Genomic DNA, 17,968 nt, shown 5'->3' with positions numbered 1-17,968 from the left:
TTTTACCTCGTTTCAGTGTCTGTGTGGCGATGGTCAAACAGGATATAGTCTAAGTGGTATCAGGGAAAGCTGTCAGTATTGATCCTAATTATTTTAAGATGTGAAAACTGTCAAAATGAGAAAAACAAATTGGTTTGGCTACGTAAACATAGTACAGTAGCAGTCATTTTCATTAACTGCAGAACACTTACGTCTAATTACTGTGCAACTGATTGTTATACACATATAATTGCAAACATGTCAAATTAACTTGGTTGTGAGTTTTTAAAAATCACAATGGAAAACAATAATGTTTGCTCATTTCCCACAACTGCTCATGGTCATCAGCACCTGCCCATATCTGGCTGTTTACAGGTTCAAAATGTACAGGGAATACTTGTACCTTGTCACCTAAATTACAGACAGACACATTCCACCAACTGCTAGTATTCCCATCAACAATTCCCACTCTTTTATTCACTTCCCCACCAGTAGTTTTGGCACAAAAAGGACACAAAAGCCTGAATGTCTCAGAGGCAAATTACAAGATTTATAAGCCATGTGTCATGAAAAGTAGAACACAAGTCCATTTGCTATGAGGACATGGATATGTCTGTGGGTTGCTGAGGTGGGTTTTGCTACTTCTCACCATACTGTCATCTGGCTGTCCATCTCTCCTCATTCATGCAGATGCCCTCTGTGTGCCATTATCCAAAGAGCTGTTTTTTATGTAACGGTGACTCATTTTGACAGCACTACTCACCCTCTGTAATATAGTTTGGACATGTGTCCCTGCTCAAACCTCATGTTGAATTGTAATCTCCAGAATTAGAGGGCGGGGGGGGGGCATGGTAGAAGGTAACTGGATTATGGGGGTGAATTTCTCATGAATAGGTTAGCATCATCCTCTTGGTGCTGTCCTAAAAGTGAACAAATTTTCATGAGATCTGCTTGCTCACAAGTGTAGGAACCCTGCTCTAGCTCTGTCTTGCTCCTGCTCTGGCTTTGTGACGTACCTTCTCCCCCTCACCTTCTGCCATGATTGTAAGTTTCCTGAGCACCCCTCGCCCAGACGCCAAGCAAATGCTAGCATCATACTTCCTGTGTAGCCTACAAAACCGTGAGCCAATTAAACCTCTATTCTTTATAAATTACCAAGTCTCAGGTACTTCTTTACAGCAATGTAAGAATAGACTAACACATGCTTTCTTTTCTAATAGATCCACATTTCCATTGCTATTTTCCAGACCCAAGCACACCTTAAAAGACTTGGGATGTATAGGATATCAATTATCATCGAGTTATGTTTATTCCCAAGTTCTGACACTAGAGACCAGTAGTGTTGCCACTGACCCCAATGTTGTTTCTTCTCAATTCTGAATTCCCAGGTACTTTCTTGGAGGCCTAACTTACCCCCTGCAAGTATACTACTCAATCTAACAAGATATGCCCTATTACTCAAAGGGCTCTTGTGGGGAAAAAGAAGAGTATGAATTGGGCATGTTGAGATAATTCTGTGCCTTGCACATTTTAAACGGATGGTCATTTTGTGATGTTTCAGTGATGGTGTCTTGTTATGCATTTTATGTTCCATTTGTACCATAACTGTCACTGCTTCAAAACTGCCAGTTAGCTGAAAATGACTTTCTGATTGCATTTTTCAATCCCTTTCCTTGCTTAGTCTAAAAATTGTTCAAGTGAAAGAGTTTTCAGGCAGTAGCATGTCCCTGTTGATTACTTTTCTAAGATCGGATTTTCAGGCACAGTTGAGGAGTCTCAGAAGAGCCTGAATATGGGCTTTGCCTAAACTTGCAAAGGAAGAAGAGGTCATTACATGGTTAATTCATCACCTTCTACAACGCTTGAGTGTGCCACATAACTGAAGTCAAACAATTTTAACAAAACAAAACAACAAAACATGAGGGCAAAGAGGGTTGCTTTGAATCAAACTTCTCTCAAAAATTTCACCAGTTATGTAAATCTAGTTTGCAAAATTACTGCTATGACGAGAGGTCCATAAACTATTATCACCACAACCATGATCAGATTTTAATTATGTCTGAAAGGATTTCCTTTGCTTTTCCATGTATAAGCACAATAGCTCTGAATCATAAAAGAATTTTAGTTACAACATTTTAACGGACTATATATAAACTATGAATATTTACATAAATATGACTTGTTCGAAATGTGAAACAAGGCTTACAAATCACAATATGGTAATAACTCTATTAGCAAATTCTTTCTTAAATTTGCAAAACCACATATCTTAAGATGTCAAAAGTAGAAGACATCAACACATTCTATTTAAAATTGTTGAAAAGTAAATAAGAATATACAAGATAAAATAAACAGTGCATTGGAATAGACAGCAGGAAGATCAGCCTTAATTGTACTGTATACAGTTTAGAGTAAATCTTTATGCAATGAAACATCTCTTTTGGCCTTACCTCTCTTGAGACAAGGAAATTTAAACAATTTAACCAGTCCAAAATCATCTCCAGACACCAGCACTGAGCTGTTGTAATTCGCATCCACTGAGTTGATGTCAGTAACCTCAGTGTATTTGGGCCAAATTCCACTCACTTCAGGGCCTTTCACGCATGTCCAGGAGGCCCAAGGAATCCCTTTAATTTCTTCTTTACTTGTTAAAGGCTTCCCAGCTGAAAATAATCAATATTAACATTACATTTAAATAAAAAGTTTATTCTAATTTATTTTTTATAAAGATCTGAAACTTTAAGAAAACTTTTGTAAATACAGAAAACTACATATTTTAATCTCTTTATCCCATTTGCGATTTTTTCTTTTTTTGCGTGGCTTAAAGAAAGCCCACACTCAAAACTCAGACATTAAAAAGAAAATGATGAAATATTCAGGTGATGCATCCCTAAATATCCTGACTTGATCACTACACATTCTATGAATGTCACAGAATTTCACATGTACCCAATAAACACATGAATGTATCAAAAAACTTAAGAAAATTATCATACTAAATGTAATGTCTCAAGCTACTAACAATTACTTAATTACCTTGATACAGATGGTATTATGCTTTGTATTATTAATGAAATGACTTTTATCATGTATCATCATGTTTAGTCACCAACGCTTTGCCAGGTTTTAAAAACTTTGGCTAAGTTCATCCTGAACTTCTATTTTTCATAATTTAAGGATGCTCAGAAGTGATGTCTTTAAAATTCAGGCTCAGTAGATTAATGAAAAAAAATTAGTGAATATTATTTAAATTTATAAGTACTAGGCACTGAAAATCTACAAGATTATGATGAAATAAAATGTAATTCACGCGGGAAAATAATCCCGACCGTTGTGCTGTGTATATTCCCAAATGGGGATGGCCCACTACCCAGTTCCCACCACAGCAGGTCAGGGATGTTCCCCAGAGAGCACACAAAGAAGCAAACATACATACATTTGGGAAAGTGTTTAACCACACACAATTTTAAAATTCAAAATCAAGACATTTAAGCATATTACCTAACTTCTCTCTCAGAATAAGTATTTTCAAAATAAAGAACTGGTGAGAATAAATGCCCTTATATAATACTGGTGCATTATCAAATTGGCACCTTAAAATTCTAGACTGTAACAGCATTACGTAAAACTTCATTAAAGAGACAACAAAATAAAAACGTCTGTAGTTGGAACACAGTCTTTCACCTAGTGTTCTTGCCTTGGAGAATACAGTCCTAGGAAGTAACTCAGGAGAGAAAATTCCACCAGTACAGGGGCATTTGGAATTCCAACAGCTGGACCAACAAAGATACTAGAAATAAGCTCAAATACCCAATAATAAGACAGTGATGAAGTAAATTATGATGCCACCCCTGAACAGGATGGTATTTTATTATTGCAAATGATAAACATGTGTTTAATATTTTTTCACATAGAAAAAATATATGAAGTAACGTCAAGCAAAGAAAACAAAGAAATACATATTTCTGCAATGGTACACTGAAGAATTTGATAAGGCAGAGTCTTATTTGTGACATTTATTTTAGCATCACACAAACTAAATGTTAATAAATGAGTATTATGTAAGTCAGATGAATCTCTTATAAAAGTTATGGTGGGGTCACAAAAATAGCATTTAAAAAATCCCAATGGGCACATTTCACCAAATAACCAGTAAGAGATTCCAATTATGAAGAACAAAGATCTGGGACTAAAACAATCCAAGTAAATAAGGACTATGATCCTCAAATCTTTGAAGACTTAAATCTTGAAATGTTGTGTTGGAGTTCTAAGCTGATCTCAGAGTTTCTAATACTCCCAGGGCCATTTTTTCTAAAATTTCAATAGACTATTCTTTTCTATTCTGGCAGGAACCAGTTTTCCTAATGATAATGTAGCCGACTATCCCTGGATATCTGTGTTACGATGGGAGTATTATTGCCCAACAAGCTGAAACCCACGGATGATACCTCCAGTTCATTTTCATTCATTTCTAACCCTGCTGCAGAATTGTGTGTGCAAGGCACTGACAGAAGCATTATGACTATTTTGCATTATCACCATTTAGTCAACTTTTTAGGTACACATTAATGAACAATGAAATGGGCAAAGATCAGGAATAAAGAAGAAATAACAGATAAAGCAAAAGACTTGGATAATGAACTAAACAGGTCATGAACATCCAAATACCTGAAAGTTGGTTCTACAATTGTTTCAGATTTTCTCTACTTTAAAAAACTATGAAATACTTCGAGCATACAGAAAATTATACAGACTACTATAGTGTACAAGTGTTGCACCACAGTTTCAACAAATCCTAACATTATGTCTTTATCACAGAATTTTAAAGAAAATGTTTCAGAGTTAAAATCCATTGGGCTTTTTTTCTAAATTTATTTATTATTTATTTATTTTGAGATGGAGTCTCACTCTGTCACCCAGGCTGGAGTGCAGTGGTGCGATCTCAGCTCGCTGCAACCTCCACCTCCTGGGTTCAAGCAATTCTGCCGCCTTAGCCTCCCAAGTAGCTGGAAATACAGGTGCCCGCCACCGCGCCTGGCTGATTTTTTTTTGTATCTTTAGCAGAGATGGGACTTCACCATGTTGGCCAGGTTGATTTCGAACTCCTGACCTCAAGTGATCCACCCGCCTCAGTCTCCAAAAGTGCTAGGATTACAGGCATGAGCCACCATGCCTGGCCTCATTGGGTTATTCTTTCCAAGATCATCTCTGCTTCTCAGCGGTAACCAACATCCTGAATGAGGTATCATTCCCATGCATTGTTAAAACATTTACTACATGTGTATATGGTCATAAATAATACAGAATTTTTTCATGTGCTAAAAGTTTATATAAATGACCATACACTGTATATATCATTCCACAACTTTCTTTTGTTTGCTCAGCATATTTTTGAGATGTATCCCTACTGATGCAAGTAGCTCTAGTTTAATTTATTCAAGTTCTTTAAAGTATTCCATTATATGACTACACCACATTTAACTCAACTCTCCTCATGCTGATAAACATTTAGGCATTGTGTCACAAACATCCTTGTGCGCACATGCCTTAGTGCATGTTCTCACCAGCAGTATATGTGGTTTCCATTTCCCCTCTTCTCGCCATCAGACTTTTGCCAGTCTAAATAGTGTAAAATGGTACTTTACTGTTGTTTTAATGATCATTTCCCTGATTCCTAGTCTTTTATTGGTCATGTGAGATTTGCCCATTTTTCTAATGTTTTTTTTTCCTTGCTCTTATCCTTAGGCATTCTTTATATATTCTAGATATATATCTTTTGTCCATTATAACAATGGCAAGAATTTATGCCTAGTCTATGCCTTGTCTTTACATTTCATTCACGATCTCCCTTGTTGTGCAGCAACTTTTAGTTTAACATGTTCCAACTCATACCTTTCCTTTGAATGTCTGTTATTTAGGATCTTGCGACAGAAAACATTCCTTGCCCTGAGGTGGGGGTGCTTTCCGGCAAAAACCAGAAAACCTGCTGTACAAATTCTAAAAGAGCCATGACACTTGTCCTGTATTTCCTTCACCTGGTTCAAAATTTTGCTTTCCAGAAACATCCAAGGCCTCCACATGACTTACATGGCATTCTGTAGAACAATCGTTCTCCTGCACCGTCATTAGTTTGTAAGTATTTACTATCCAAGGACCAGTCAATATGCGTGATGAAACTAAGGGACTTGCTGCATTCTCCAATTTTCTTATACCTCTGGGCAACAGCATAGACATCTACTGGGCCATCATTGGATCCCACTGCAAGGTAAGAACCATCTGGAGAAAATTTCATTTCATGAATGACTTCTTTTCGATCTTTGATGTGAACTACTTCTGTCATATCTCTGTAAGAATAAAAAGCAAAACGATAAGCAGCAATTCTACAAATAGAAAATCCAAGTTTTAAAATATATGTGTCAGAAAAAGAAGTGTGTTGAAAGAGAACCAAACCTGCAGGAATTAAAGGATTAACTTTTGAGTAAATATATAAAATGTTATTATTTAAAATTTATGGCATTGGCCGGGCGCGGTGGCTTACGCCTGTAATCCCAGCACTTTGGGAGGCCGAGGCAGACGGATCACGAGGTCAGGAGATTGAGACCATCCTGGATAACAAGGTGAAACCCTATCTCTATGAAAAATACAAAAAATTAGCCGGCCGTGGTGGCAGGCGCCTGTAGTCCCAGCTAATCGGGAGGCTGAGGCAGGAGAATGGCGTGAACCTGGGAGGTAGAGTTTGCAGTGAGTCAAGATGGCACCACTGCACTCCAGCTTGGGCGACAGAGCAAGACTCCGTCTTAAAATTTATGGCATTTTAGGAGAATAACAAACTGTTTAAATGATATTTTGGGCTTCCAAAGTAAAAACAAAAAATTTAATTAAGTGCATATTTGTGATGAAGAGAAGTAGATTAATGGGCACAAACTGCAGTGTGATAGAAGAAATAAGATCCAGCGTTTGATAGATCAGTGGAGTAACTATAGGTTATAATAATCTATCAGATATTTCCAAATGGGAGAAAATAATTCAAATGTCTCTAGCATAAAGAAAAAATATTTAAGGTGATGGATAGCCCAATTACACTGATTTGATCTTCACGAATTATATGAATGTATTCAATTACATGTACCCTGAAAATATGTGTATCTATTATGTATCGATTTTTAAAATTTTAAAAAGAAATGCACATTTGCTTTCATGTTTAACTATATATTATTTTTCCCTAAAATTTTTGTTTCAAAAGTTGGGGTTTGTCAAATTGTTTTAAAAATACGCCATGGAGAAAGGGAGACTGTATCAAGATTAACATAAATAAATCATCTTTTTTATACTTTAAGAAACGAGTGACTGTTAAGCTTGATACCTATTGTCGCAAAAAGAGCAAGTCAAAAAAGCAGCTGAAGAAAATTACCTTTTTAAATGTTAAATTGTGATGTAATCATTCAACATTTCACTGTCATGAATACAGTGAGTCACTGGAATATTTTGTTTTGTTTCTGACCAGATTCTTTTAAGAATTTCTGCTCACACTGGAAAGCTCACTGGGGTTGTTTTTTCCCTACAATTGTGAGACAGGATTATGACAACTAGCAGGTCCCCTGAGCCAGTAAAGATGGCTTCATCAACTCCAAATAAACTGAATACATAAAGAATAGCAAATAATCGTTCTACATAACAGTCGCTCATACCTGCTATCATTTATTAATAGCATTATGGTGTACTAGAATGTCATAAAATAGGTGTCTGGAAATTTATGTGTGTGTGTGTGTGTGTGTGTGTGTAGTGTGGAAGCTTGAGAAGTCCATCGAAAAAGAAATCTGGTACTCAGCCATCTTTTCACACGTCACTAAGCAGAGAAAGAAAATGTTGCCCACTAGTTCAGTAATGAGTTATGTGTGGTTGGTAGTGAGAATGTAGTGTAATAAACTGTGCTAAGACCATTCTCCAATCAAAGCTATGGAGAATTCTCTGTGCAAAGCGGGAAATATTTACTTTATAGCTGCATTTATTTTCTATAATTACAAAACATGTGAGTCGAGAGAACGACAAATGCATTCAGAGGAATTACAAGAGTGGGTCATAATTTTTTTCAGTAAAAAGTATATAGGATGTCAGTAAATAGGAAATATTCCATTTTAGTATCAATTATGGGTAGAAGAAATCTTTTACTAAAGCTCACCTCTAAACATCTGGTGCTGTTGGGTGCTGCTTTATTCTTTCTTCCTCTTTTCTTGGCTTACTACAAAGCCCACAATCTTTTATCCAAAACCCTTGGAATTAGATGTGCTTGGGAATTCATTATTCATTAGATTTTAGAAAGGTTCATACACAATGTATCATGTAACATCCCCAGTGGGGGCTGGGGCAGCAATCTGTATTAAACACAATAATTTTGCAGCAAGTCACATGACACATGATTATTTCTACTAAGAGATTACTAGATTATAAACAGCCTCACATCAGTCTGTTGGGTTAGACTGTGCTGCCAAATTATCAAATAATTTTGTATTTTCAGAGTGTTAGGACTTCAGAATTACAGATAGGGGATCGTAGATCTATAGTATTCCTATTTGAATGGCTAAATGGATTTTTCCTAAGGTCCTAGCATGTATTATGACCAGGAAAATTGTAACATTTAACACGAGAGCATTTCTAAATACCATTTTCAACATCAGTACGTGCCTGACTCGGAGAACAATGAAAGAGCCGTCCTTCATGCCCAGGGCCAGCTGAGATCCGTCGGGGCTGAAAGCTACACTGCGAACCGCCTCTTCCATGTTACAGCGGGCGATCAAGGCATGATCAGCCAGGCTCCACAGCCTAGGCACAAGAACGAAGTCAAAACAAAACAAAACCAACTTCCCATGGTCATCGGCCAGCCCAAGGCAAGAAGGGCTGCTCACCACACCAACAGTAACAAGAAAAGACATAGGAACTTCACACCAGAGCCCTTTATCATGGCCTGTCAGCGAGTGTGGAAAGGTGTTTTAGTGCATCTTTGGGTCATTTTCATGATTTGAAGGAAACCAGCAAGAATTATCAAATGAGGTAACATTTCCAAAGATTTTGAGATTCACAGAACAAAAAAAAAATTTAAGGCTGGGCATGATGGCTCAACGCCTGTCATCCCAGCACTTTGGGAGGCCATGGCAGGAGGAACACTTGAGCCCAGGAGTTCGAGAATAGCCTGGGCAATATAATGAGACACAGACTCTACAAAAAATACAAAAATTAGCTGGATGTGGTAGTGTGTGCCTGTAGCCCCAGCTACTTGGGGGGCACAGGCAGGAGGATCACTTAAGCCCAGGAGTTCAAGGCTGATCCTGCCACCGCACTCCAGCCTGGGTGTCAGTGCAAGGCCCTGTCTCCAAAAAAAAAAAAATACTACTTCATACAAAATATTACTTTCACTTTGGAAATTAAGTGGTCCTTTATGTATACCAAGGGTTGTTCATCACACATACATGTTAAAAAGTACTTACAGGATAAGATGCCATTATTATTAGCTTTTTAAAAAGTATGCGCCAGACACAGTGGCTCATGCCTATAATCCCAGCACTTTGGGAGGCCAAGGCAGGAAGATTGCTTGAGCCCAGGAGTTCAAGACCAGCCTGAGCAACATGGTGAGACTCCATCTCTAAAAAAGATTTTAAAAATAGCTGGGTGTGGTGGGGCATGCCTGTAATCCCAGCTACTTGGGAGGCTGAGGTAGGAGGATAGCTTGAGCCTAGGAGTTCAAGGTTGCAGTTAGCTATGTTCATACTACTACACTCCAGCCTGGGAAACAGAGCAAGGCCCTGTCTCAAAAAAAAAAAAAAAAATTATGTATCAATATATCTCTTTCTCAATATAAATATATATCAACACAAATATATATCTCTCAATATATAGATCAATATAAATATATATCTATATATCTACATATCAGTATACATAATCAATATAATTATATATGTATGTAAATATATAAAAGTGCTTCCAGTAATAGTTATTTCAGCACACACAGATTGAAATATATGTTACATTTGTTGGCCTTCCTAGGAAGAAAATGTGTCCAAGATGAAGAAGAGCAAATGATATCCCCCTCTGTTGCTCCTCACAAGCTTCCCTGGGCGCCCAAGTGATGGGTCCACTTTTGTGGGGGTGGACACCTCACAGGACTCCTGGCCAGTAAGCACAGTCACTGCTGGAGAAGTGGCAAACGAGGGGCAATTGCAGCTCAAACAAAGCTTTCAGCAAACATTCCCATCCCCACAACACCTAAATCCAGGCACCCCAAACTGAGTGAGCCTGAATGAAACATCTGAAGATAGAAATAAGGCTTTACATGTTGGGTGCAATTGTGGTATCTGACTTCCATCAATTAGTACTTTTTAAAATATAGTCTTCTGATAACACAAACTAGTGTCTGGGAGACTGAGAACCTAGAGCTCTGCAACAGACAGACAAGAATAAGTCACATGCAGCACGGTTTCTCTCAAAGCATTCTGCCATCAGAAGGGATGGGGCACATCCCTTCCATGCTGAGCTGCACAGTAAATAGCTTACCGGTCCCTTAGGCAGCCTGTACTGTGCAGCCTCAAGCTGAGTATGTTCTCAATACCTCATCCATCATGCATGATCTCATGCTGTTTCAACCTTGTACTATTTTAAGCAATGTAACCCTTGCTTTACTAGTAAAGAAACCATCACTCCTCAGTAAATGGTACTATCCCTCTGAAGTCACTATGCTCATCTTTCTCAAGAAATTATGACTTTTAGCCTTCCTAAATTTTAATACTTAGTGTAAAAATGTATTAAAGATTCTAGTCAAATTAATGGTTAAAGGGAATAAGATTCTGGCAGTCAGGGCTCCTCAAGGATGTTTGCAATTCTGAGACTTAACAATTGTTGAAACATAAAAGCGAAGGACTTCCTTGAAATCACTTCTTTCTGGATGGGTATGAGTTTCACACGTGTCTGAATAAGCGGGAAAATTCAAGAGTAACAGAAAGACAAAAACAAAAAAGGAGAAGTGAGTAAAGTGAAGTATAAACCAAATAACCATTTATGTCACACAAGGAGAGAACAACAGTTGTTTTAGTTTTTCTCACTGATTTTTAGATCAATGAGGTTTTCGTGCTTGGTAGAGATGGAAAAAACAGAATTAATGACTACACTAATTGTATTTTGATGCGACTCATAAACACACAAAATAAGGGAGGTGGGAACTAGTGAGCTTTAGTCCAGTTTGCATTGTTCTATATTAGCTATCAAAACCCAGAGGCAGTAGCCATTCAATCGATTGATCAGTCTGTTCCTCTCACACTCTCCCTCTTTCTGGCCTGTTTGTCATTGAGCATATCTAAAGCTCAGCACTAAGTAATAAAATACTGAAATTGGGGTAACATTCTTCATCCCAAACCTTTAAGTCATATGTTCATTCCTTTAATAGGTACAAAAATACTGGAATCATAAGTCATTGTGCTCATTTTACCCAGTTGGGCTCTCAAAAGAATAAAAATGATCCACAGCAAGAAAGCTGGAGGCTCCGAGTAAACTACTTTCTCAGGCCCCATGATTCTTTCATCTGATGATGCTGTTCAAAATTTCATCTGAGACTTTAAAAAGAAATAATAGCTTATTCATGTGCTAAAGACAATTTTGAGAATCAGAATTTAAGTTCTAATGATGATGAATGAGAGAGCCTTTAACAAAATTGTAAAATCTCCATGCAGCCCCCTGCAGAAGACCAAGGGCACGAGGGGACAATATGGTTTCATCATAGATGAGTGTGCTTAGCTCATAAATCTCCAATTAGAAAGATCTGGAAGCCAGCATCACCAGTATTGAAGCATTTTTCACTTCTAAAAAACATTTCCATGATTTAAGATGCAGCCAAGAAAGACAACAGCAGGAGCAAAATGCCAAAAACCCACTTGATGAGCTAAATGTCTTAACGTTTCATTTGGAAACTGTGTGGTTCTGTTCTGCACTTTATCCTTCTATTAATAAGCAAATTTGGGCAAATAAATCCATCTCAAAGAAGTCAGAGAGGTGACGGCGGTAGGGCCTCACCTGACAGAGCGGTCATCGCTGCCTGTCACAGCCAGAGGCTTCTTGGGGTGCAGGGCCAGAGCCCAGAGCTCACCCTCGCAGTGGCCCTGTAGGATCAACATCGGCTTGTCTCGCTCTCGCACAATCACTTCAAATATCTCACTGTCCTGGGTCCCTGCTAGAAGGCGGTCTGCTTTCCAGCACACGCTCCGGATAGAGAGGCCTGACAAAAATAAGTAAAACAAAAGCAAATCTTCACACTATTCACACACACACACACACACACACACACACACACACACACAAAACCCTAAAGTAAATGCCCTTTAACCAGGATACCATCAAATGTGACACATCTTAAAGACTCTTGGAGGCAGAGAATCAACTCTGCCACCATTCTTTGTGCTTTTTTTTTTTTTTTTTTTGAGATGGAGTCTTGCTCTGTCACCCAGACTATAGAGTGCAGTGGCCCGATCTCAGCTCACTGCAGCCTCCGCCTCCCGGGTTCACGCCATTCTCCTGCCTCAGCCTCCCAAGTAGCTGGGACTACAGATGCCCACCACCACACCCGGCTAATTTTTGTATTTTTAGTGGAGACGGGGTTTCACCGTGTTAGCCAGGATGGTCTCGATCTCCTGACCTCGTGATCCGCCCGCCTCGGACTCCCAAAGTGCTGGGTTTACAGGCATGAGCCACCACGCCCAGCCCATTCTGTGTTATTTTCTTACAAGCGCTGGATGTTTCCTCCACCCCTTGTAATCTAGTTTGCAAAAGAGTGGCTGCTTTTCCTTGACTTAGGATAACTATGTGTTTCTACAGCAGGATTGTTTGTTTTTATTTTTTAGAGACAAGGTCTCACTCTGTTGCCCAGGCTGGAGTGTGGTAGCACTGTAGCTCACTGAAGCCTCGACTTCCGGGGCTCAAAGTAATCCTCCTGCTTCACCCTCCCAAGTAACTGGGACTACAGGTGTGCAACACCATGCCTAGACTAGTTTTTTTTCTTTCTAGAGACAAGGTCTTGCTATGTGGTGCCCAGGCTGGTCTTAAACAGTAGAATGTATTTTAAATACTATATCATCAAGTAAATATAAGATGATAAATTGGTCTTCATGAAAACCTAACCTTCAGAATAATTTCCTTCAGATTTGCTATCAGAGAAGAATCAGTTCAACCTTTAGGAATAACATTGTGTTAAAATTATACGTGGGTGACACTACAGAACAGCTGATGATCATATTAAACAAGTTTAATACATATTTGATCAGAATCTAGATATATCCTACGGAATAAACAGATGCACCATGTCTCAGAAATATGCAAATGAAACTCCAATTTCAATCTCAAAATACCATCAAACATTTATCAGTGAAAATACTATTCTTCACCGACTTAATTTATGGAATCTTCTCCACAAGCCTCTTCTCCAAAAGCATAGTACTCCTTTAAAGTCCACACGTCCCTCTCAGTAGTACTATTTCATCCTCCCTAGGCAGGTCCTCACTTGCCTGAGTCTCAGTATCTTGGATTTTTTGCAGTCTGTTCTGTTCCTTACTGGGTTTGTTATTTGTTTAGGCAGTGAGTTTTTGAATCCGAATTAGAAATACAGAAGCAATATCAATTTCCTAAATACTTTAAAACAAGGCCAGGATGTGATGGGCTCCAATTTGCCTCCCCAGCAGGCACTGTGTCTCTGGGATAGAAAGTATCAGACGTTCGAGGACTTGGCCTCTACTCCTGCTCTAGGTCCAGCTGGCTAGACATAGGAGTATTCTTTCCTTGCTGGGGACCAATTTTTCTCCCCTTAAGATATAGACTGTAATTATGGTGACCAAGTAATCTGTCATTCCAATTAGAACGCCTTTAAGAGGCTCTAAAACTAAATTTACATAATACTTTGAAGTATTTGACTAAGGAAGCAGCTTTCTTATGTTGAAAGACCTACTAAATAGTTCTATCAAAGTATTTTCAATTATAACATTCTAAAAACTGTTTACTGCAAAATTAAAAATCTGGGGCAGAGAGATAAATAGGCAGAGTGATGAACAGGCAGAGTATGGAGGATTTTTAGGGCAGTGAAACTATCCTGTAGGATACTATAATGGTGGAGACATGTCATTACACATTTGTCAAAACCCACAGAATATACGCCACCAAGAGTGAACTCTAACATGAACTACGGCATCTGGGTGATAATGACACGTCAAGGTAGCTTCACCCACTGGAACAAATGTACCACTCTGGTGGGGCACATTGATAGTGAGGGAAGCTATGTATGTGTGTTGTGGGTGGGAAGGGGTATATGGTAAGTCTCTCTACATTCTCAATTTTGTTCTGAACCTAAACTGTCCTAAAAAATAAAGTCTATTAAAAAAAAAATGGCAAGGCACGGTGGCTCATGCCTGTAATCCCAACACTTTGGGAGGCTGAGGCAGGCAGATCGCTTGAGGCCAGGAGCTTGAGACCAGCTTGGCCAACATGGTGAAATCCCGTCTCTACTAAAAATAGAAAAATTAGCTGGACATGGTAGCACGCACCTGTATTCCCAGCTACCCGGGTGGCTGAGGCACGAGAATGGCATGAGCCTGGGAGGCGGAGGGACTTGCAGTGAGCTGAGATTGTGCCATTGTACTCCAGCCTGGGCGACAGAGCAAGATTGTCTCAAAAGAAAAAAAAAAAAAAAAAAGCCAAGACAAATACTAAACCAGCTGGGATGCTGGGACAACAGAAGGGGTAATTTGGGGTACGCGGACATCCTAACTATAATCTTGATCTTAATCACTTCACTGTGGTCCCGAGAGGATCCAATGAGATAAATGCATTTATTAAGAGAAAGTAGTTTTTCAAGGCATAAGGCTTTAAACAAATACATGAGATAACTGTCTTTACTCCTTCCTCTGAATTCATTGCTACAGGTCTTGAAATGGTGGGAAAAAGCACACAGGCCGATGTATTATTCCCGCCAGGAGGAGTAGAGACACCCTGGCAACAGTAGTTCAGGGTCAATTAATCAAAATCCTCCACTGCAAACATCAGGATGGGCTTTCAAGGATGGGAAGGACAGATGTATGGTGAAAGCAGTCAGGATGTCATTGCAAGCTGACAGGGCATGCAGCTCAGCTGCAGAGAACCACACGGCCTTGCGCCCATGATCCTGTTGCCACAGCCCCCCCTCCTTGTCCTGATCTCTTTGCCTACCCTTTTCGGGGTTTCATTACCACTCAGGAGTCAACATATTCCCGTTTTCTCCCTGGTGTTTTTCTCAGCTCCTGCAGGGGCTTGGGAGGAGGGGCTGAATTAGTTGTCTCCCTAGCAGGCTTTGCATCATCTACTTTTATTACACAAAGGGTTTAATGCTTTGCTCTTCAGCATCATCAGGAAGGAAGAAGAGTCAGTGATATTTCAACATCAGCAAAAAACAAATAATCTACTTTTACTGTATTTATTGTCTGCTTCCTCTCAGTAGAATAGAAAGGTCTGTGAAGAGAGTTTTATCAGTTTTATTTACTGCTATATCCTCAATACCTGGCACAGTGACTGTCACGTGGTAGATGCTCAATAAAGATTACTGAGCAAATGAAATAAAACATCAAAATCAAATATTTGAGTCCTTGGAGATGCCAAGAAATAAAAGATACCACCCTTGTTACTCAGTAAGAACATTCAAAGATGGGATATATTCATTCCTTTATTTCAGAAATTTTTATTCAGCACTACTCTGTGCCTGACAGTGGAGCTTAACAGTGAACAAGATAGGCCCCTACCGTAATGAAGATTACATTTGAAAAAGGGGCCAGACATATGTAAGCAGATATCCATGCATCAAAAACTAAAGTGATGCAAATGTATATGTGTACCTATATACACATACATTGTATACAGATATAGACATATACATTACATCTTAGTGATACGTTATATATTTTAACTGTTATTGAATATTCAGATCATAGTCCTTTTATAATGCCATTGATTGTTTTAAAGACACGGCCCTTTTCCAGGCAGGTCTGGAATCCATGGCTTCACTGTAAGCATGAACACACCAGTTCTCCCAAGGCCTCCAACAGCATGTCTGGCCTCTCAAGGCCAAATGACTTGAATTTGTCCCAAGGGCCTGGAGCTGTATTTGGTCAAGTATCTATTTATGCTTTATTACAGAAAGGATTTAATGCTGTACTCTTCAGCATTATCAGGAAGCAAAGAGTTAATGATTTTCCAACATCAGCAAAAACTAAATAATCTACTTTTTTACTGTATTTATTGTCCTGCTATTTTTAACCTTATTTGGGGGAATAAATTCAGCAAGGAAAAAAGATTATAATAACCCACAACCTGGAATTAAATATCGACATTAAATATATATCTATATATCCTCTCTTTTAAAAAATTTTAAGAGGCTCAGGAACAAAGACCAAAACCTTCCAACTCAGCCCAGACTAATGAACCAGTCAAGTCACATGGCACTCAGTGTTTTTCAGACCATATCCAGGGAGCTCTTGCATTCCTCAGAAGAGTGCCAGGTTCCTGGCAAGGAGAGGGCCAGGAAATAGGACAGCAAGAGGCGGGAGTTTGAGGATCCCACTGCTGCATTTCCCTTGACACCTCACCATCTCCGATTTCATTTGAAAAAGGGTTCCACTGAACTAACCAACGTAAAGGCGGAGCTTAGCAAGGATTATTTCTGGCTACACATGGGTGGAAGGGAAGAGAACAAGAGAAGGAGTTGCTACATTTTCATTGCTTGCAATATCAACTTAATGAGCTGTGAACATTTTCTCTCAGAGAGCAACTGCGTCTCTCCCTAAGTACTCAGTTCTTTCAACACATCAATTGTCTTTTGTCACATCAGACAAGTCAATCTCATGGCGTCTGTCCACCAGGCAATAGATACAATACCAGGTCACTCTCATTCCTTAGATAACCATTTTAAAAAGGAAGACATCAGTGTGTCAAAAGCTGTATTCATGTTTCCTAATAACATCCCATTGCCATCCTTTTTTAACCTAATTGTTCTTCTGCATGCAAGAGTGGTAAAGAGAACCACACAGTCTCTTCTGGGAACCTTCTGGTGAGACCTTGGTGAATGGCAGATCCCTGACAAAGTTCTGACATTAATTCCCTTCTCCTGTCTATCCAGGCTTAGTTTCTACTTCTGACACAAACCCAGAGAACAGAAATGTAATCATGATGTCCCAGCTGGGCTGACCAAGGCAGCTGCAGCATTAGAAGGCAACGAAGCTGTCTTATACTGCTTTCTATTCTGCTCTGGGAGTCAGAGAAATATAAGCTAGTATTTGGAATATGGTTACAAATCCATCAGTAGTTAAGAGAAACAGGAGAAACCATCCTCATTATTTAAAACCACAGAAGTTCTCTTTCCTGGAGAAATACACATCATTGTTACTTTTGACACTGTGAACTGAAGGCGTTTCACCACACAGATGAGGTGTCCACATTTGGACACCATACCCTGTGCCACTTGTGATGAGAAACGTGGAGCTTGGGCCTATGCTTGGTACAGAGAGCCAGCAGATGGCGGTAGAGAGCAAATCACCCATCTAAACCAAAAAAATCCTCTTATGCCAAGACCAAATCCTCACCAGTCCGTGGCCCTGATTTTATACTCAGACCAGAGAAGAGAAACAGCAACCTTCCAATTCCCTCTGCTACAGTCCTGAAGCCTGGCCATGGGGAGATCTAGTCTGTGAATATCAAATCAGACCTCATTACTAAGGGACATTGCTTATTTTCTACCACTAGTTTATTTTGAACAGTTAAATATATGAACTGGATTTATATACCAGCCGTTGCCAGCTGTGTGACATGGTAAGGTATTTAGTCATTCATATCGTTAGTTCCTCCATCTGTAAAGTGGAGATTATTAGCACTCACACTTCATAGCATTGTGAGAATTCAACACAACAACACATGACCCAGTGTCTGGCACTGAGGAATG

The 17,968-nt window shown here is 39.2% G+C and overlaps 1 protein-coding gene and 1 pseudogene across 10 annotated transcripts in view; both read right to left on the bottom strand.

Moving 5' to 3' along the window:
* The window catches only part of EML6 (EMAP like 6), a 248,474-nt gene that overhangs the window by 115,741 nt on the left and 114,765 nt on the right, over window positions 1-17,968 (bottom strand). For 8 of the 10 annotated variants that reach the window (XR_001738743.2, XM_017004098.3, XM_047444299.1 and 5 more), the window contains exons 8-11: window positions 12,037-12,238; window positions 8,662-8,799; window positions 6,067-6,323; window positions 2,430-2,642 (exon numbers count right to left, since the gene is read on the bottom strand). Coding sequence is in view for 9 of the 10 variants with exons in the window: in XM_017004098.3 (XP_016859587.1) it covers window positions 2,430-2,642; window positions 6,067-6,323; window positions 8,662-8,799; window positions 12,037-12,238 (810 nt within the window). In the remaining variant the exon portion in view is untranslated. The remainder of the gene's footprint in view (window positions 1-2,429; window positions 2,643-6,066; window positions 6,324-8,661; window positions 8,800-12,036; window positions 12,239-17,968) is intronic. The other 2 variants (XM_047444302.1, XM_017004101.2) reach the window with 2 other exon arrangements.
* RNU7-81P (RNA, U7 small nuclear 81 pseudogene) lies at window positions 5,936-5,995 on the bottom strand (annotated as a pseudogene).

The sequence above is a fragment of the Homo sapiens genome, chromosome 2, assembly GCF_000001405.40.
Source record: "Homo sapiens chromosome 2, GRCh38.p14 Primary Assembly".
Lineage (NCBI taxonomy): Eukaryota > Metazoa > Chordata > Mammalia > Primates > Hominidae > Homo > Homo sapiens.
This window is presented reverse-complemented; position numbering and strand designations above follow the sequence as displayed.